The 21,804-nt window shown below is 41.0% G+C and overlaps 1 pseudogene, 1 gene segment (V, D, J or C) and 1 further gene; all 3 read right to left on the reverse strand.

The window, feature by feature from the left end:
- The window catches only part of IGH (immunoglobulin heavy locus), a 1,293,408-nt gene that overhangs the window by 944,216 nt on the left and 327,388 nt on the right, over positions 1-21,804 (reverse strand).
- IGHVIII-47-1 (immunoglobulin heavy variable (III)-47-1 (pseudogene)) lies at positions 481-784 on the reverse strand (annotated as a pseudogene). The gene is given in 1 exon segment: positions 481-784. A coding segment is annotated over 1 exon segment (304 nt).
- On the reverse strand, positions 7,158-7,613 carry IGHV3-48 (immunoglobulin heavy variable 3-48). The segment is given in 2 exon segments: positions 7,158-7,464; positions 7,568-7,613. Coding segments are annotated over 2 exon segments (353 nt in total), but the record flags the coding sequence as incomplete, so codon positions are not given.

Raw genomic sequence — 21,804 nt, forward strand, 5'->3', positions numbered from 1 at the left:
CTCTGAAGGTCCTGAGCGCCCCCGGAGGTCCTCAGCACGCTCTGATGTCCTGAGGGCCCCCTGGTGGTTCTGAGCGCTTCCTGGTGGTTCTGAGTGTTCCCTAGTGTCCTGAGCGCCCCCTGCAGTCCTGAGGGTCCGCTGGTGCTTCAGAGCACACCCTAGTGTTTGAGTCCCCTGGTTTCCTCAGTGCCCCCAGATGGTTCTGAGAGCTCCCTGGTGTCCTGAGCACCGCCTGGTGGTTCTGAGTACCCCCTAGTTTCCTGAGTCCCCCTGGTGTCCTGAGTGCCCCACGGTGGTTCTGAGCGCCCCTGGCGTCTTGAGTGAGTCATGGTGGTTCTGAGCACCCCCTGGTGTCCTGAGCACCTTCTGGTTTCCTGTGCACCCCCTGGTGGTTCTGAGAAGCATCTACCATGCAGGGAGGTTTGTGTCTCCCTGCAGGCAGGTTTGTGTCTGAGCTCACACAGATGTCCCCTCACCGTGTCCCTCACAGTAATAAACGGAATTTTCCTGAGCTCTCAGGTTAATCATCTTAAGAGAGAATCATCTGAAAAGCGTGTCTCTGAGGACTGTTAATCTTCTTTGTACTCAAGGAGAGTCCCACTGAGAACTTCCACTTGAATTACTGATGTTATCACCTACACCCACCCCTGTCATGAAGCCTGCTGGACCAAGCTTATGCTGTTTTCAGTGAAAGTGAATCCACAGGGTTTCCAGAAAAGTCTGAGAATTCTTGGTCTGTAGTATTTCTCTGAGAGACTCCAGTAATTAACTTCACAGGGGACCTCTGCAAGCACAGAAGCAACAGACTGAGAACAGCCCCCACGTGGAGCAGCCACAGTTCACTCAGTCTGTTTAACGGGGAACCTCAATATTGAGAGTGATGACAAGTGAAGCCCAGATCATCATAGACCCGATGGTGTGGACACTGAGGAAGGGCACAGATATTGGGTGGCTCCTCACCAGGACCTGCAGGAGAAGAGGGGAAGAGCTGCTTTTCATTAGCAGGGAGGGGCCTCATTTCCATGTCTTTCTCCTGGGGACATGTGTGTTCTGCTCAGCAGGGCTCATCCAATCTATATCTCTGGGTTGCAAGGAGGGCAGGGTCAAAGGATTCCTGGGACTGGATGTTCAGGGTTGATGTGTCCATTGCTCTTTCTTTTTCTTTCATGTGGACGCTGTTAGGGTATCTTTATAGTATCAATGTTTGTCAACAAATAAGTACAGTAAACAAATAAAAATAAACCTTGCCCAGAGGAAATGGACATCTGCCTGTAGGCTGTGCAATTCGAGCTGTAAACCACTGTCCTCTACAATAAAGCAAAGTCTTCAGTTAGAATTTTAAAAATGCAGATCTACAAATTGTCAGAGCTGGAGTCCACAATTACTTCTATCCTGAGCTTATTTTGCCACATAGCTGTTCAGTTTCAGATGTATGTGCTTGTCTGAAGAAAAAGTTAATGCGGGGACATGTGGGCTTATCTGAAATGAATACAGAATCTTACAGGAGATTTGGGAGTGCCTTGTTTCTTCAATGGGCTCTTGCAGTTGAATGTTGCATCTGAGAATACCAGCAGGTGCATATACTTTCAGAAGAAAGCCCACTCCATATCCACTATTCCAATAACACCCATCTTCCCTTCTTCCTAGTTTGTAGCTTTTAGGATGTGCCTCCTACACTGACACTAGGTCCAGGTATCTGACTTTTTCCCCTAGAGACCTAAAGCAAACAGGATACAAGCAGAGACTTGAGAAGTGCATGCAGGAGGTTATTTTCTTTTTCTCAGATAGAGTCACTGCAAAGGCTTCATGATGAAAGAAGCTGAGGTCAATGAAGGAGTGTTTAAGACATTGGTCTTAAAAATCATGATGTCAGAGGCTTCAGATTGCTCTACTGTTCTTGTCTCACCCTCTGCCGTTGTCCTTTAGTTTTCCTGTGTTCTCCTCAGATAGAGTCTGTGCATTGCCACACTTTCACCTTTAATCCAGAGCCATCATCCTGGTTAGAATGGATTGTGCAGTGCAGGTAAGCACTGCCTGTTCTGACAGTGGAAACCTAGAGACACAGTCAGCTTCCTCTTCTGGCCTATGATCTTGACCAGGCGTCTCCAGGGGAAAAGCTCATTTTGGGCGATTACTCCCTTTTTTGTTTTCAGCATCCCTGGATTATTTACTTATATCTTACCTCTATTGGCTAACTTTACTCATTTCTACAATTATGGAAGAATGGGAGAGAAATCTGCAGTGGGAGATTTGTCTTCCTTCACATAGGATAAGGTTCTGGAAAAGTCCTTTCCTGTAGAAGCTTTTGAAGAAGGCTCGTGGTATGTTTCTCAGTAATTAATATCTGCAATTTTGATCTATAGGAAATGTCTTTGGAATGTACATTTTAGAATCTTGAGGTTTCTGGAAAGAAATTCCAGAAAACTTAGAAGTATAAGACCCTCTGGAACTGTTACATTTACTGAGTCCACATCTGTCTTCAGACGTCTGTAGTGCTTACCATGTAAGTGCCCTCAACAGCTTGTGGCTTCTGCAGCTTCTGCTCCAGTTAAGCAGGTGTCAATTGCCATTCTGCACATGCCTGTCTCTCCAGGTTTGGAGTGGGTAATATTTCTTGCAATTTCTGTTATTTCATAGATTCCAAAAAGTATTGACATCCAGATTATGCAGATTACTTTTGACATAAAAATGAGGGTGATGAATTTTATAATCTACGTTTTGGAGCATAAACCAAAAGTACAATCAAACCTCACCTCTGATGTGTTACTAGAGGCAGAATTCTGATCCTATTACATAGAAGTGGCACCTGGCATGACATCAATGAACAGGCAAGAAAACAGAGAAAGGACATGGCACAACGCTTATGAACAAGTCTCAACAATTTTAATTTTCTTCTGAAGAAGCTGAAATTGTGAAAGTGAAACAGTGGGACTGGTCGTGTCTCAGGTGATGTTGTCTTCTGAAAAGTATCTCCAATCCTGGGCTGGATCTGGTAGGTGCACCTGGGCTCCCTAACCTCAAACAGCAACTTTTATTTCTTAAACACAAGACATTCCAATGAGAAAGCTGTTCTCAGGTGAGCTGTCGAGCAGGGAGGAGTAGATGGAGGTGTCTTTGGCTTCCTAGAAATTGCTGAAACTTGAAGACCAAGGCCACCTCTGAGGGGCAGAGATCCACCTATGAGTACGTCACATCAGCTCTGTCTTCAGGAATCTTTGGCTGTGTGGGCGGATAAGGAATGTGATATATTCGTTTCTGCTAATGCAGTGTGCTTCAGAGAAAATAAAATTGAAAATTTAATAAAAAGATTTTTGCCATATTAGGGAAGAGAACCTGTAAAAATCATGGGAATACAAGTGCTGACTTCAGACCTTGCAGAAGGAGCAAGTCTGCAATTGAGAGAAGGAAGCGCCCTGCCCGAGGAAGCAGGTGCCCTGAGATCATCCCCTGAGAACTGCCCTCTAGATGCCGTGCGTCATGGAACCTGGGCTTGTGCCTGGGATGTGAAAAGTAGTGTGGAGAGCAGAGCACAGCTCCATTCCTCCTCCTACTGTGACCTAGGATGTGGCCTCTTCCTCTGAGCTTTATTCTAATAAGGCGTTAATATAAAATAACAGCAGTAACTTTACCTGTAACCTTTCAAGTATGACCAGTCTTGTTCAGACTTGTTATCACTGTTCTTGACCAAACCCTTAAATATCATAAAAATACCTGTGTGACCCATCACCTCAGGGCTCAGATGACCACATTACAGAGAGAAGCTCTGTTTTATTTCTGTCACAAACATGGTGTTAGAACTGGAACATATGTGTACCTTGTTATATAATTTATCTTAATTATGTTAAATTGGATAAAATTAGAATTAGTAAATTATACCTTAGAAATTTAGCTGAGGAGATATCTAAGTAAACTGTTGATGGTATGCCTTCATTTCTTTTTGCTTATCATAGTATAATGTGACAGGAGAGAGATAAATTAAAGAGGAAATTATTGAGCAACGTGCAATCAGCTATTTTATAAATAAAGGAGGTTCTCACATCTTCTGGAAACCCCATAAATTTTTTAAAAAGTTAAGTAACTTTAAGACATATTTCTACATTCTAGATACATGACTAATGTAAACTTAGATTTAAGTGCAAAAAGAGATAAAAAAGAGCAAAAAGAGATGTTACCTGAGCAAGAAACAAAGACAATTAACATGTCTCAGATCTTGAGGAAAATCAGAATTGTAACTTAAGTTTGATCTACTTTATGACCTTGCAGTGGCGTGGCCAAGGAGACAGGATCTCGCAGGATTTTACAAATTGTGTTTACAAGGAATTTGAATTGGGAGCATAGATAAGGTCTGCTGGTCACAGAAATACAGACTTAAAAGCCCATAATGTTAAAACATTCCTTTTAGTTTCAGGGGAGGGGGAATGGAGAGAGGGAGAGAGGACACAGGGAAGCTTACAGCAAAATTTTCACTGTTTATAGCTTTCTTAGGGAAGAAAACACATGCACAAATTGTGATGTTAGGAATATTTTAAGCATATATCTTCAATATTATTCATCCAGGACCAAAGTAAGTCCTGATGCAGGAAATGAGTGAGTTTCACTGCTTTCTGAGCCTCTACTCAACCCAGGAAGCCCGGCTGACACCTCCTCTCAGAGTTTTCTGCTTAGAAAACCAATAATAACACAAATGTTACTGGAAAGGGATCCCAATTGGGGCAAATCTACAGAATAAAAGGAAAGCAAGTTTATTAGGAAAGTAAGAGAATAAAGAATGGCTACTATATAGGCAGAGAAGTGGTATGGGCTGCTGGTTGTCCATTTTTATGGTTATTTCTTGATTATACGTTAAACAAAAGAAGGATTATTCATGAATTCCCCGGGCAATTCCCAAAGCTGAGGTTTCCTCCACTCTTTAGTTTCTAGGGAAACTTCCTGATGTTGCTATGGCATTTGTAAACTGTCATGGCTCTGTGGGGAGTGTCTTTTAGAATGTTAAAGCATAATACTTAGCATATAATGAGCAATGAGGACAAACAGAGGTCACTTTTGTCACCATCTTGGTTTTGGTGGGCTTCAGCCCAGTTTCTTTACTGTAAACTTTATTAGCAAGGTCTTTATGACCTGGATCTTGTGCAGACCTCCTATCTCATCCTGTGACTAAGAACGCCTTAGCTTACTGGGAATGTAGCCCAGCAGGTCTCAGTCTTATTTTTCCTACCCCTTATTCAAGATGAAGTTGTTCTGGTTCCAAAGCCTCTGACACAAATAATGTAACAGAAATATTTATAATATGAGCATGATTATATTGTCAAATATAAAATAAAATATCATAATGGCAACAATCAATTTTATGTGTCACCTTGACTAGACCACAGTCTCAACTACTCAATCACACACTAGCCTAGGTGTTGCTCCCATGGCTTAACACAGGTGTTAGTAGAGACTGCCATTATTTTTTCCCAGTCATGAAGTCACAAAGAGTGTTTTAGATAATCTAGGTGGTGCTGATTCAAAGAGAGTGTAACAGAAGACCATAGGACTCCGTGGTAGATGGCAGATGCAGGTCTTCCCAGGAATTCCAGCCTGTCTTTCCCGACGGCCAGCAGTATTGACCTTAGGCTGCCCGGGGAGACCCTACGATTACTGTCACCCAGAGCTCACTGCACAATGGAGTGTCCATCCTCAGCTTGTTGTAACCGAGCGAGTTAGAGAGAAACGCCGCACTTTGAGATGAATTCAGGAGTCCTTTATTAGCTGGCAACTGAGAGATGGCTAACGCTGGAAATTCTCTCAGCCCCGAAGAAGGTGCTAGATTTTCTTTTATACTTTGGTTTAGAGAGGGGAGGGGGAGCCTAACTGTAGCATTCTAACAGGAGTAAAACAGGCAAAAAAGTTGAAAGGACAAATGGTTACAGGCAAACAGTTCCAGGTGCAGGGGCTTTAAATTCATCACAAGATGATAGGTGTGGGGGCTCTGGGTGTTATCTGCCAGACACAAATGCAGGGGCTTTAGGGTACCATCACCTGGCCAAATTCCTGGGAACTGCGGACACAGCTTGCCACAGTACCTTATCAGTTAATCGCACTCTTTGAGATGCTGGGAGTCAGCTTAAACAAGTTAAGTCCTTGAGGAAGGGGGTGGGTGAGGAGCCCTTGATGTCTTACAAATGAAGGAGCCAAATGGAGTCTGTTCCAGCTTCCTGAGCTAAGGGAGAGTCTATTCATATTAAAACAAGATAAGGTATCACAAGCTCTCCTCAAAGTCACAGGTGAGAGTCCAAACTTTGTGACAGTGTGAGAAGCATAAGATCAGCTCTACATCAACATCCCATTGGAGAAAACTAGTATTATTCCCTTCATGACTAATGCCTGCTTCATTTTCCAAATGCCTCCATGCACAGAAGACAGCAGGATTTTCCAGGCAATAGTGAGTGAGGAAGACCCCTCAGCCTACCCAGCTCCTGCGGACCTGAGCCTTGGAATTTAGACTACAGAAAACACATCCTCTGTTTTCAGGAAAGAGAAGAAGAAAGGGATCTGTGAGAATCAAGTCTACTGGGAAGGAAAATGGATTAGCAGAAAGAGGGTCAACTGAATCAGTCTGAGTCAGATGTGCCCAGTTTCACAAGATGAAGGGGGATTGCTGTGAAAACCATCAGGTTTTAAGAACCCTGACCCTGGGTGAGCCTCTCTCTTGGCTCCCATCAGAACTCAAAGCCTGTTCTAATCAGAGATTCCCATGGAGGTCTCTGCCCTGAGTCTAATTGGAAAACATTCCCCAGGTTTCCCTGGGATTCCTCAAAACTCTCACCCTGTTGACCACGAAAGGATTATTTCTGCCCCCAAAGTGACACTGTGGCTTCTGTGGAGGTGAGGATGTGTCCTCCTGTTTTAAAAAAAAAAAACAGACACAAAAAGGAAAAAAAAGGTTGCATTTAGAGACATCAAATATTAGTACAGGATTGTAAATCTGGAGAAGTTCCCCGGGGAAATTTGACAATGAGGCCGCCCCAGGCCATCACAGGAAGCCAGCCCTCAGCAGCACCTGCACCTGCCCTGGAGACAGCCCCGTGCTCAGTGTGCTGTCGCCCCCTGGTGGTCCCAAGGGACCCCTGCAGGGAGGTTTGTGTCTGGGCTCACACTGACTTCCCCTCACTGTGTCTCTCGCACAGTAATAAACAGCCGTGTCCTCGGCTCTCAGGCTGTTCATTTGCAGATACAGTGAGTTCTTGGCGTTGTCTCTGGAGATGGTGAATCGGCCCTTCACAGAGTCTGCGTAGTATATGGTACTACCACTACTACTAATGTATGAAACCCACTCCAGCCCCTTCCCTGGAGCCTGGCGGACCCAGTTCATTTCATAACTACTGAAGGTGAATCCAGAGGCTGCACAGGAGAGTCTCAGGGACCCTCCAGGCTGTACCAAGCCTCCCCCAGACTCCACCAGCTGCACCTCACACTGGACACCTGCAAACAAAGAGACACCAAGGTCAGAAACTGCCACACATATCCACTGTTTCTCTCACTCATATCCACACACACTAAATCTCTCTAGTTTTCCATGAATCACCTTCTAAAATAGCAACAAGGAAAACCCAGCACAGCCCCAACTCCATGGTGAGTCCTCTGTGTTCAGTGCTGATCACCAAGTGGAAATGCCTTGGAATCCAGGGCTAAGGCACCTCTCTGAGAGCTGCAGGGTCAGGGTTGGGTTGGTTTTCATCAGTAGAGGGAGGGCCCTATTTGCATATCTCCTACTATATAGCAAGCTCTAGGGTGGGACCCTTGAGGAGTAGGCTGTACCCAGATAAGACGACGGTGCCCTGTAGAAGTTTGCTGGCAATGATTGCATTTGGAAAATATGCTGTCTTATTATGAAATTGTGCTGTGATAAACACTTTGCACTAATCACCCTATTTCATTTTAAATATTCATGTAAACTATGTTCTGTAGGAGACAATATTTTCTCCATTTACAGAAGTGGAAGTAAACCCACACATGGGGGGGCTCTGTATGCGTCTCGGAGCTCATGTCTGGGATGAGTGAACCCCGGTATCTGGCCCTGTGCTCTTCATCACTGTCTCTGACATCCCCCTAAACCAACTCCAGGACAAAGCTGGATGTGTCTAGTGTTTTTATCAGAACCCACATTCCGTAATAAGAGCATGTGTGGTTTTGCTGCCCTCCAGCACTCTTCTGAAAATATGGAGAGAACTAGGATCCAGGCACATTAATTTTCAGGTACTTCTGACATTGAACTTATTTTTTCTGTCTTTCTATTACTCTTTCCTTGTCTAAGTTTCCATTTGTTTGCTTGTAAGACATTTTATGAGGCTTAATTGAAAGATAATAAACTTCACATATTTAAAATGTACAACTAATAAAAATGATGTAACTGCTATCATTACCAAGAAAGTGGACAAGTGAATTCTTCTCAACATTTCCCCTTGTTCTGCTGTATTCCTCCTCCTCTCCCCCTCCCTTCTTCTACCATTACCCCAGGCAACTACTTATCTTCATTATTTTACTTCAGATGCATTTTTATTTATCAGAATTTATAAAAATGAAATTACATAGTATATATTCTTATTTGTTTAGCTTATTTTACTCAACATAAATACTTAGATATTTTACCTTGTTGCTCTGTGTATCAGGCATTAATTTATTATAAATGACGGGTAGTATTCCAGTGAACACATTTACCATAATTTGTTTTTCTATTAAGAAGCTTAACAATATTTGTCTGGGCGGCAAGCCACCCAGGTGCTGAGGCAAGAGACTGAGGGCACAAGCTGTTCCAGTGTAATGAAGAGAATATGTAAAATAAGAATAGTTGTACTAGAAATAGGTTATAGATATGATTATATATGAATATCATTAATCATCAGTCTGTAGCATTACTCTTTATTCCAACATTATAATAATCCTTGCTCTACAATTATAACCTAGGAAAAACCAGGCCATACAGCAATAGGAGCTGAAGGGACACAGTGAGAAGTGACCAGAAGACAGGAGTGTGAGCCTCTGTCACGCCCGGACAGGGCCACTAGAGGGCTCCTCGGTCTAGCGGTAGCGCCAGTGCCTGGGAAGGCACCCATTACCCATTACTTAGAAGACCTGGAAAGGGAGTCTCCCTTTCCCCGGGGGAGTTAGAGAAGACTCTGCTCCACCACCTCTTGTGGAAGGCCTGACATCAGTCAAACCTGCCCGCAGCCCTCCAGAGGCCTAAACGTCTCTCTGTGATGCTGTGCTTCAGCGGTCACACTCCTGTTTCACTTTCATGTTCCACTCTGTACACCTGGCTCCGCCCTCTAGATAGCAGTAGCAGAATTAGTGAAAGTATTAAAGTCTTTGATCTTTCTGAGAAGAGAATGGAATAAATAATGACCTAAGCTGTCCTCTCTCTCTCTCCGCCTCGGCTGCCAAACAGGGAAGTGCCCTCTGTCTGGTGGACACGTGACCCACATGACCTTATCAATCATTGCAGATGACTCACACTCCTTACCCTTCCCCTTTTGCCTTGTATCCAATAAATAACAGCGGAGCCAGGCATTCGGGGCCACTTCTAGTCTGTGTCTTGGTGGTAGTGGTCCCCTGGGTCCGGCTGTTTTTTCTTCTATCTCTTTGTCTTGTGCCTTTATTTCTACGATCTCTCATCTCTGCACATGGGGAGAAAGATCCACAGACCCTGTAGGGCTGGCCCCTACATATTTGCATTCTTTTTTTACTCTGGGTCTTATTAAAAATTCTTCTACACAGCTTGGAAATGTACATAGATGAATAATATATTTTACTTATGTTTTACAACAACAGTATCAACAAAAATAGATAAACAGAGGAGCTGGAATTTTGGAATTTTTTTTTTTGAGACAGAGTCTCACTCTGTCGCCCAGGCTGGAGTGCAATGGTACGACTTGCAAACTCTGCCTCCTGGGTTCAAGCTATTCTCCAGTATCAGCCTCCCAAGTAGCTGGGATTACAGGTGCCTGCCACCATGCCAAGCTATTTTTTTTTTGTATTTTTAGTAGAGACAGGTTTTACCATGTTGGCCAGGGTGGTCTCAAACTCCTGACCTCAGGTGATCCACATACCTCAGCCTCCCAAAGCGTTGGGATTACAGGTGTGAGCCACCACAACTGGCCATTTTTTAAAAATAATACTTTAGATACTTGAAGTTTTAAGATAAACAGCAAATGTGAAATCTAGGGAGAGGCAAGTTCTTGTAAAGAGTAACAAAGCTGGGGTATGAGCTGAACTGAGGCAGAGTATGGCATGTAAAATGTAGGCTATTACAAGATGAAAACACACATATATATTGGATTGCTTGAAGTCAAGTGTGGTAAATGTGTTGTAGGGTGAATTTCTTAGGGACCACAGACTGAAGAGTTTTCCTATCCTATTGAATCCTTTTTCCCCAAAATGGGGACAGTCACCAAAATTGTTCTGTCCCATTGTGTCTGTCTAGGAGAGAAAAAGTGCCCACCCTTCTGAAAAGCGTTCAGACCCACCTTCCATATCCCCACTGGAGAACAAAGAAATTATTCTGGAGGGGCAAGCCACCAAAACCAGTATCTTAGGGGCACTGGGGCAATCCCTTAGGAACTGAGATGGGAAAAGAGGTCTTCACCTAAGTTCCATTGAGAAGTATCTCCCCTCCTTCTTATTTAATCAGAGCCTTAATCTGCAGTTCTAGTCAGCAAATCTGTAAGGTGATAACACCGAAAGAGAACGTTGGAGCTGTGGGAGGGAACAACTGGGGAAAACAAGAGGACTCCACAGCAGGGAAAAGAGCAAGAACACACAGACCAACATCTCATCTGGAGGAAGTTCAGAAACATTGGGAAGGTCACACCCAGACTCATGTTCACAATATGAACCCAGGAAAGGTCAGAAAATCTCCCTTTATTCTATTGCTTTCCACCAATTTCACAATTGTCAGTTAAATAACATTTAAATCCACCTGAGGGAGCTGAACATGATTCTCTGGAGGAGGGAACAGGTGAAGAGACAAAGCCAAGCAGGAAAGAAAAACAAGATATCACTGGAGGATCTGAAGTCTCTGGTGGACACAGAAGAACAGACTTCAACTTTGATGTCCACTGCAAAAGTGAATGTCAAATATAGTTCTGAGAAGATTCACAGATACTTCCACAGTAAAGGCCTGGCAAAGGTAAAGTGTGGTCAAATACAGGCAGAAATGCATAAAATGAAATAATAAGCCAGTATCCACTGTCCATCCCAGTATCTGTGGCTATCAACAATTATTACATACATTAATGAGAAGTACCAAAGTCGTAATAAACAAATGATCAGCATGAGATTTGTAGATGAAACAGATATTATAAATATCTAATTAAACAAGATATGTAAAGTAACTATGATTCATATGCAAGAATCTCTTAAAGAAATCGTGGACATAGATAGGGAACTGAAATATGAAAATACTAAGAATAAATCAAATGGAAATGCGTAAGAAATCAAAAGCAATGCTGTATGAACATCGAGCAATCTTTTGGCACACACCTCAGTAGAGCTGGCTCAGCTTTTCAATAAAACCATGTGATTAGTATGTCACTAGAAATTTCACAAAGTAAATTGCAAACGAAAAGAGAGTGAAGAAAGAAACTAAACATTAATATCAAAATTATAGTATGTGTATATTTTAAATCTGAGAAGGAGAAATTATAAATACACAGAAACTATTTGAAAAAGATAATAGCGAAGAATGTTCCCAATTTTGTGAAAGAAACTGAACTACAGATCCTAGAAGCAAAGAGAACCCCAAACAGAGTAAATAAAAACAAACACATGAACCACACATCCACCAAGGACACAGTGGTGCACAAGAAAAAGCTCACACATCACACACCACACACACATTTTCTCAGCTTTATTCTTTTTACTTAGTTGTTTTAAAATTATTTATATTTATAGTATTAAGTAGTAGTCTAAAATTAAAAGATATTATCCTATGCATAACTCTGTCTATGCATACCATTATCAAATACACGATTTGGTGCAAATGAATGTAACTACATTGTTAGTTAATTAACTATTTCAAAGAAAAATGGTATTTATTCCTGTCTCTGTGTTGAATCATTTGTAATGTACGCCAATATAATTCTTTTTAATTAAAGGATTTTTCAAAGTTGGCACATAATAACTGCTTATGTTTATGGGATACAGTGTGATATTTGAATACATGTGTGCCACTTGGTATGACCAAAATCAGAACAATGAGCAAATTCGTCAGTTCAGACACTAACATTTATTTGTGTTGGTAGCATAGAAAATTCTCTCTTCTGGCTTCTTGTAAACAGAAAACGTACAATATATTGTTAACTGTAGTCACCCTACTGTGCTGTAGAACACTAGAGCACATCCCTCCTGTCTACCTGTAATTGTGTGTTTGTTAACAAACCTCTTCTTATCTCTCAGCCTTCTCTCATTCCTGGCATCTCATCACCACTACTCTACTATTTACTTCTAGAAGTAACGCTGAGAAATGCGGTATTTATTTTTCTGTGTCTGACTCATTTCACTCAACATAGTGGTGTCCCATTCCATCCATGTTGCTTTAAATGGCAGAATTTCATTGTTAAGGCTGAATAATATTCCATTGTGTAAATATATCACATTTTATGTATCCATTCATCTGTTGATGGACACATATGTTGATTTCATATCTTAGAAATTGTGATTAGTGCTGCAATAAACATGGGTGTACAGGTATCTCTTCAATATTAGTTTTTTCTTTTAAATATTTAAATAGATATATACTTAGCAGTTGGATTGCTGGAATATATGGTAGTTCTATTTTTTTCCCTTGATGGCTGCACTAATTTACATTTCCACCAGTGGTCTATGAGTTTTACTTTCTAGGCATCCTGGCCAGCTTTTAATAAGTATGTATGTATGTATTTGTTTTTCAGATAACAAACTTTCTAGCAGAGATGAAGGGTGAAAAGACATCTCATTATGAATTTGCATTTTCCTGAATATTAGTGTATATATATGTATGTATGTATACTAATAGGTCTATCTATCTATCTGTCTGTCTATGATCTATTTGCCCTTTGCAAGGCTCTTTTTTTTTTTTTTTGAGATGGAGTTTCACTCTTGTTGCCCAGGATGGAGTGCAATGGCGCAATCTCAGCTCACTGCAACCTTCACCTCCTGGGTTCAAGTGATTCTCCTGCCTCAGTCTCCCTAGCAGCTGGGTATACAGGCGCCCACCACCACGCTCAGCTAATTTTTTGTAATTTTTTTTTTTGAGATGGAGTTTCCCTCTTGTTGCCCAGGCTGGAGTGCAATGGTGCCATCTCAGCTCACCGCAACCTCCACCTCCCAGGTTCAAGTGATGCTCCTGCCTCAGCCTCCCGAGTAGCTGGGATTACAGGCGCATGCCACCATGCCCAGCTAATTTTGTACTTTTAGTAGAGACAGGGTGTTCTTTATGTTGGTCAGGCTGGTGTCGAGCTCCTAACCTCAGGTGATCTGCGCAACTTGCCTCCCAAATTGCTGGTACTACAGACATGAACCACCACACCCGTTGAGCTTATTTCACATGCTTGGTAGTAATCCTTTGTCATATTAATAGTTTTCAATATTGTCTATCATCTGCAGGTCCTCTCTTAACTCAATTGTTTCCTTCAGTGTGCAGGAGCTACTCTTTCTTGATAGAACCTGGACAGGTGTGCTGAGGTGCTCTGGGACATTGGAGGGGAAGAGATGGACCCAATATCCAGAACCAGGTGACTTTTACTCACCATGTAGTTCTGAGTTTATGGTTTGAGCAGATGCAGAAATTTGTCCAGGACTTCTGGGGGGTAAAGAATTTGAAGGGAGAATGATATAGCTTATTAGTCAAATAAATGAAGATATCATAATTGTGCATATATTCTTGTAAGTGGGGGTAGCTCAGCAGTGTGTCTTCATCTGCAGAAAAGAGGAAATTATGTCTGCTGTGAAAAGAATGCATGATTTTTGACATATGTGGTTATTATTAATGACAACTGAGCCTGGATACTAGGTCATGTTATAATACTAGTGGAAAGACTCAATAGAAGAAAAAATGTCATAGCAACAAAAACGAAGCCCCGAAGATTTGAATGAAATGGCTTCAAATATTACTAGTCATGAACATGCCAAGAAAAATCAACTGCCATAATCAGAAGTATAATTCATGACCACTCATGTGATTCATGTTGGGAAAATATAAAATATCCATTTAATGGCTCATGACCACCTCACAAAATGACTCAGAGAAGAAGTTAAGAACAGAGGGTGACCTTACAAGAAGCAGAGGCCAAACATTTGAGGAGAGGTAGAATGTGTGTCAGAATTGTGAGAAGTAGAAACCTGAACTCTGCAGAGAAGCAGCAGTGATCAAAGGCAGTGCTGAGTCCACTTGAGTTTAGTGGTGAATACAGAAAAGATAGATTTCTCTGCCCTCATTGTTTTTGTTCTCAAGACTCTCTTGGAAGCTCAGTTGTGAACATTGGAAATCTACTTAAAACTTAATCATGGCAAGCAATTTTTCACTGAAGAAAATGGTAACAATGTGGGGGTAATTAAATTTTGGTTATAAATATTAGTTGTTGAAACCTCCACGTCAGTCTCTAGTAATTTCTATCATAAAATGCTCAGCCCCATCAATGGAGTCTTCTTACCCTATCAGGGATGAGTGTCCATGTGGGCACGTGGTGCAGTCACGGAGGCTGGGGAGATGGTCTGTCCAGGCTTTCCTGGTCCTTCAGATGAGAATTGCAGAGTTGTCTCCTCCCCTATTCCCACCAATTTTCATATTATTTCATGTGACCCTTGAGAATGTATTGCCATGTCTCTACATAATAGGAGTCAAATCTGGCATGAAGCTGACATTCTGGGTGTATCAGTGTAGAACTGGGCAAAGAAACTGCCTGCCTACATGAACTATTGCATTATCCAGGCCTGGAGCCTCTCACATCTAGGCTTTGAATTTTATTCTTGATTTTCTGTGTTGTTTAGTCAGTTCAAATGTTCTTTTTAACTTTCTACTGAATGTTAACTTTCTCACATAATAATCTAGAGGCATAAAGACTAAAAAATTACTTATTTGGAAATTAACCCAAGTTCCAGGTGAGGCCATAGTTTGTGGTGATAATGAGACAGGGAGAAGCATGGCTGGAAACTATGACTGTGCTTATAAATGCTTCATGTTAACAGGGAAGACCCTGTACACCTAAGAGATTTAGACACTGCCACTGAGAACCTCGACCTAATATTATTTGTTATGAATTGCACCTCAATGATAAAACTCTAGGCTTTTGACTAAAATTGCTATTACTAATGTAAGCTTTTCTTTGGAATACAGCCCTCTATCTGATGTAAAATCAGCCCAGATGGCAGAAGTGATTGTATTTATTAGAACTTCCAATTTGTCAAACTAGGAAACAAACACATTTTAGGGCAGTGCATGGCTTTGGGATGCTTTGTTAACAACAGAGCATCTCATATGTTCCGGAACACCCACCAAAATGGGCAAGTTAGGGAACTCTTAGAAGCACTCCTTTATCCCAGATTCCTGGCAAATATAAAGACGGTAGTCATTGCAAAAAGAGGTAACATTGAAGCTAAGAAAACTGCCACAGCAGATCATATCCTCAGAAGAGAAAACTGCTGAGAGGGTCACAGATGTTATTAAAGCATAACTTTAGGTCCTGATTTTAAATAAAAATAAATGAAAAAACATCTAGTTATTGACTTTGCTTAGATAATTTGTGCCAGATTATTACAAATTAATATTTGATGTATTTCAACTCTTCAATTTATAGACAAATTCATTATCCAATTAAACACTTTGAGGAAACAGCAGAGGTTAATTCTTGATGAAGTGTAACAAGACAGCCACAAAATCCTGGGAGAACCCTATCATTGGGACCTAGACAGAAACCAAGCCACAGGGCCCTTTGGACACATTTAGGTAAAATTTCCTCAATTTCCACCCTTAAGGGGATGTGAAAGTATTTTATTTATAATCTATATGTGTTCTCCGTGTCTTGAAATAATTCATTGACAAAAGGCTACAGCCCTTTCAGTTGGTTAAACACTTCGGTATTTTGTGTTTTTAGCCTGTGACCTGCCAGGTTTTGCATGAACTGAGTGAAGTACACCCATGAAAGGAACTATTATAAAATGATTCTGTGAGGTATGGCTGATACTAAAGTATGACACTGTTATAACCTCCCACAATCTTCCACATAAGTTTATGGGTATCCATGTGCAGAAGAAAATAAATGGACTGGCTAGACACAGTGACTCACTCCTGTAATATCAGCAGTTTGGGAGGCCAAGGCGGGCAGATCAAGAGGTCAAGAGTTCTAGACCAAGCCTGGTCAACATGCTGAAACCCTGTCTCTAATAAGGTGTTCTTACATTAAAATTATCACAATTTTAAGGAACCCTTGAACTCCCTTGGCGACATGTACTCCTACTAGCACTGTGGCATTATGGTCCTCTGCCTCAAGGATGTATCTGTTATTGCCCCATGACTTGATGGCTGGAACAAATACATTTAGAGATTTTACCTCCAATACTAGCCTTTGCCATACAGTATTTGGATGAGGCAGAACACTCAAAGAGATTCATGTATTATGCTCATTCCTATCACCAACAGATTAAAGCTGCCATTCCAGTATGTCTTTTTAACAACAGCCTGTTTCAATTTTAGGCAGGAAAATTTATGTATTAGAAAAAATTTTAGAGAAAAACTTTCCTTGAAACACTGGAAGGAATCTTATTAAATATTTTTATGAACACTACAGTAAAACTCCATGGAGTCAGTCCTTGGGATTTGTTTTGCAATTCAATAAGGAATTAAAAATTCCACACAAATGGAACACTACTCCCATAGAGGGAATTTGTACATACTTAATTAATAGTCCAACCTTCACTAAGAGGCACTCTCCTATGGGAATCCAAAACTTAACAGATCTCTGTAACCTGCTGAAGTCTCAATGGACTTTACCTCTATGCAGCCATAAATGCAAAGGCAAATTTTGTATTTTTGTGCATGAGTGATCTGGACACACCCTTTGCATTTTAACTGAATTTCATGGAAACATGATTACTTACTAGGAACTCATATTTAATGGTATTCAAAAACTCATCACCCTTGTGATGGGGTGACAATAGGTGCCTTGGAGAAATATGCTGATGCTTCACTTGAACAAGTTCTAGACTCTTCCCTTGGCTTCATGGTTTCTCACTCAGTACAGATATGTCTAGGAACAAAACCCAACACTGACATCCAGCAGTTTCTTCTCTTGTGAAATTTATTTGTTTCTTTGTTTTCCTGTCTTTCTCTTATTCTCTCTCTTGCCTTCTCATTATGATTTTCGCTATATCATTCTGAAACCTGCTAACATTACGCATCTTGAATCATGCCAATTTCCAGCCTCAAAAAGAAAAATGTGCAAACTCATAATTTTCTTAACAAGGTTAGAAAACTTCCTGCCTTTCCACCAGATTCATTAGAGACTCCCAATGAGAATCATGATGAAATGTTGTGTGTTTTTGGATCATACCTCAAAACTGAAACTGCTTTTTATAATGGTTTTTCCGTTTGTATTTCCACTATTGTGCAAAGTTGTATGAAGACTCCAAAATAAAAGAAAAATAGAAATACCTGATGACTCAGCAAATCCTATTCTGAGTATGTTCTAAAGAAGATAAAATCACTGCCTCATAAAGGCATGTGCACTCCATGTTCTTGCAGCTCTATTCACAATAGCCCAGATATGAAAGCAACCTCAGTGTCTGTAGGTGGAGAAATGGATATAAAAATATAATCGATGTAGGCAATAGAATATTATTCAGCCATAAATGTTGATATCTTGTCATTTGCAACAATATGAATGGAAGTGGAAGCCATAATGTTAAGTTAAATAAACCAAACACAGAAAGACAAATATTGCATCTTCTTACTTTTATGTCACAACTAAAACATTGGATTTCCTGAAGACAGAGAGTAGATTGTTGTTTACCAGAAGCCTGGTTGGATACAAGAGAGAAGAGGATAAAGAGAGGATGATTACTGAAGACAGATATACAGTTATATAGGAGAAATACAACCTAAATGTTTGATAGATGAGTAAGGTGACTATAGTTAACGATAATCTAATGTATACGTTAAAATAGCCAGAAGAGAGTTGTTCAAATGTGCCTAGCATAAAGAAAATATACACGTTTAATGTGATAGATATACCAATCCTGATCTGATCTTTACACGTTTATAAATGCATCAATATATTACATGTTCCCATAAATTAGGTATATCTATTATATGCCTATAAAATAAATATATAATCTCCATGGCATGGTTTTACAAAAATATTAAAAAGTTCTCCAATTTATGTAAAAATACAAAAGCTTTAAATAGCCAAAATAATTTTGGGTAAAATATAACTGAATATATCATATTCTATAATTTCAAAATCAAATCTATGTAAATCAAAACAGTATAATGCTGACATTTAAACAGACATAGAATCCAACAGAACATTACAGACAATCTGGAAGTCCACCAATTTCTTCCCAATAAACTGATCTTTGATGAACTGCCAAGAACACACAATAGAGAAAAAACAGTCTCTTCAACAAGTGCTGTGAAAACTGGGCATCCATATGCGGAAGAAAAAAAATGGACCTTATCTCACACAATACATATAAATCAGCTAAAAATGGATTTAAGACTTAAACAAAGACCTGAATATGTGGTACAAAGTTATCCATGTATGGTTTGGAACAAAATGCAAATTAGTACAGCCATTATGAAAAAACAGCATCAAGATTACTCAATGAATTGAACATAGAATATACCCACTTCTGAGTATACATCTAGAGAAAATAAAGTGAGTGTGACAAATATATGTTTATTGTGAGATTATTCATAATAGCCTAGATATAGAAAATAGGTCAATGTCCATCTATGAATCAACAGATAAAATGTGGCTTATTCCTACCTAAAAGTGAATATTATTCTGCCTTTAAAAACGAGGAAATTCTAACATGTACAACACATAGAGAACACTTTGCTAAGTGGAGTGAGACACAGAGAGTCAAATGTTGCATGAACTCATTTATATGTAGAATCTAAAATATTCATGCTCTTGGAAGCAAAGTAGAATAGTAGTTCCCAGGGGCTGGGAGGAGGAAAAAATTGGCTGATGTTGGTCAAAGGTTATAACTTTCAGTTATGCAGGTTGATACAGTTTGGCTCTGTGTTCCCACTCAAATCTCAGGCCAAATTGTAATCCCTACATGTTGAAGGAAGGGCCTAATATAAAGTGATTGGGTAATGGGGTGGCCTTCCTCTTTGCTGTTCTCCTGATAAAGTTCTCAAGAGATCTGATGGTTTAAAAGTGTGGCACCTCCCGTCTCCCTTGCTGTCTCTCTCCTGCCATCTTGCAAAGAAGATTTTTGAATCCCCTTCACCTTCGGCCATCATTGTGTGTCTTGATGCCTCCCAGTAATGCTTCCTGTTTAGCCTGAAGAACTGTGAGTCTACTAAACTCTTTTCTTCATAAATTACCCAGTCTCAGGTAGTTCTTTACAGCAGTGTAAGAATCAACTAATACAGAAAATTTGCACTAGGAGTGGGCACTGCTATTAAGATACCTAAAACTGTGGAAGTGACTTTGTAACTGGGTAATGGACAGAGGCTGGTAAAGCTTGGAGGGCTCACAAGAAGACAGGAAGCTGTGGAAAAGTTTGAAACTTTCTAGAGGCTTACTGAATGGTTTTGAACAAAATGCAGATAGTGATATGGACAATAAAGTCCAGGCTGAGGTGGTCTCAGATGCTAAGATGAAGAACTTCTTGTGAACTGGAGTAAAGCTCACACTTGCTATGCTTTAGCAAAAAGACTAGTGGCATTTTGCCCCTGCCCTAGAGATCTGTGCAATGTTGAACTAGGGAGAGATGACTTAAGGTATCTAGCAGAAAAAATTTCTAAGTAGCAAAGCATTCAATATTTGCCCTGGCTGTTTCTGAAAATGTAAGTCATATGCATTCATTAAGAGATGGTCTGAAATTTGAACTTATGTTTAAAAGGGAAGCAGATCATAAAAGGTTGAAAAAAATTGCAGCCTGACCATGTGGTAGACAAGAAGAATCCATTTCCTGGGAAGAAATTCAAGCGGGCTGCAGAAATTTGCATAAGTAATGAGGAACCCGATGGGAAAAACATCTTGAGAGCATTTCAGAGATCTTTGCTGCGGTCCCTCCCATCACAGGCCCAGAAGCCCAGTAGAGAAAAATGGTTTCATGGTCCAGGCCCAGGACCCGACTGCTCTGTGCAGCCTTGGGACATCCCTGTCCCTCTCCTGCCAGCCATGGCTAAAGGGGCCAAGGTCCAGCTCAGGCCATTGCTTCAGAGGGTGCAAGCCCTAAGCTTTGGTTGCTTCCACGTGGTGTTGAGTCTGCGGGTGCACATAAGGCAAGAGTTGAGGTTTGGGAGCTTCCTCTTAGATTTCAGATGACGTATGAAAATGTCTGGGTATTCAGGCAGAAGTCTTATGCAGGGCTGAGCCCTAATGGAGTACCTCTACTAGGCCAGTGTGGAAGGAAAATGTGGTGTTGGATCTCCCACACAGAGTACCCACTGGGCACTAGGCACTAGATGCCTAGTGGATCTGTGAGAAGAGGGGCACCTTCCTCCAGACCCCGGAATGGTAGATCCACCAACAGCTTGCATGCTGTGCCTGTAAAGCCATAGAAACTCAATGCCAGCCTATCAAAGCAGTCATGGGGACTGTACCACGTTGAGCCACAGGGTGGAGCTTCCTAAGGCCTTGGGAGCCCAACCCTTGTATCAGTGTGTCCTGGATGTGAGACATGGGGTAAAAGGAAATTATGCTGTAGCTTTAACATTTAATGGCTGCCCTACTGGTGTTTGGACTTGCATGGGGCCTGTAGCCCCTTTTCTGTGGCCAATGACACCCATTTGGAATGGGAGCATTTACCCAGTACATGCACCTCCATTGTGTCTTGGAAATAACTAACTTCTTTTTAATTTTACAGGTTTATAGGGGGAAGAAATTTACCTTGTCTCAGAGGTGACTTTAGACTATAGATTTTTGTGATAATGCTGAAATGAGTTAAGCCTGGAAGACTGTTGAGAAGGCATAATGATATTTTGCAATGTGAGAAGGACATGAGATTTCTGATAGACCATGGGTGGAATGATATGGTTTGGCTCTGTGTTTTCACCCACATCTCATGTCAAATTTTAATCCCCAAGTGTTGTAGCAGGTGTCTGATGGGGAGTGATTGGATCATGCGGGCGGTCTTCCCTTTTGCTGTTCTTGTGACAGAGTTCTCACAAGATCTCAAGGTTTAAAAGGGTGGTGCATCTCCCCTTGCTCTTTCTCTCTCTCCTGCCAGCATGTGAAGCGGTCCTTGCTTCCCCTTCACTTTCTGTGATGACTGTAAGTTTCCTGATACCTCCTAGTAATACTTGCTGTTAAGCCTGCAGAACTGTGAGTCAACTAAACCACTTTTCTTCATAAATTTCCCAGTCTCAGGTAGTTCCTTACATTAGGGTGAGAATGGACTAATACACAGGTTGAAATAGTTCTGGAGATCAAACCTACAGCAATGTGACTATACTAATGAATGTTGCATTATAAACATATCTTTTGCCAGACAAGTAGATATTAGGTGATTTCATCACACATACACAATAAATTAAAGGCATAAAATGTTAACTCTCTGAGATGATAGGCATGCCAATTACCTTGATCATTATGAGCATTTCCCCAAGAA

The sequence above is a fragment of the Homo sapiens genome, chromosome 14 (genome assembly GCF_000001405.40).
Source record: "Homo sapiens chromosome 14, GRCh38.p14 Primary Assembly".
In the NCBI taxonomy this organism is placed as follows: domain Eukaryota; kingdom Metazoa; phylum Chordata; class Mammalia; order Primates; family Hominidae; genus Homo; species Homo sapiens.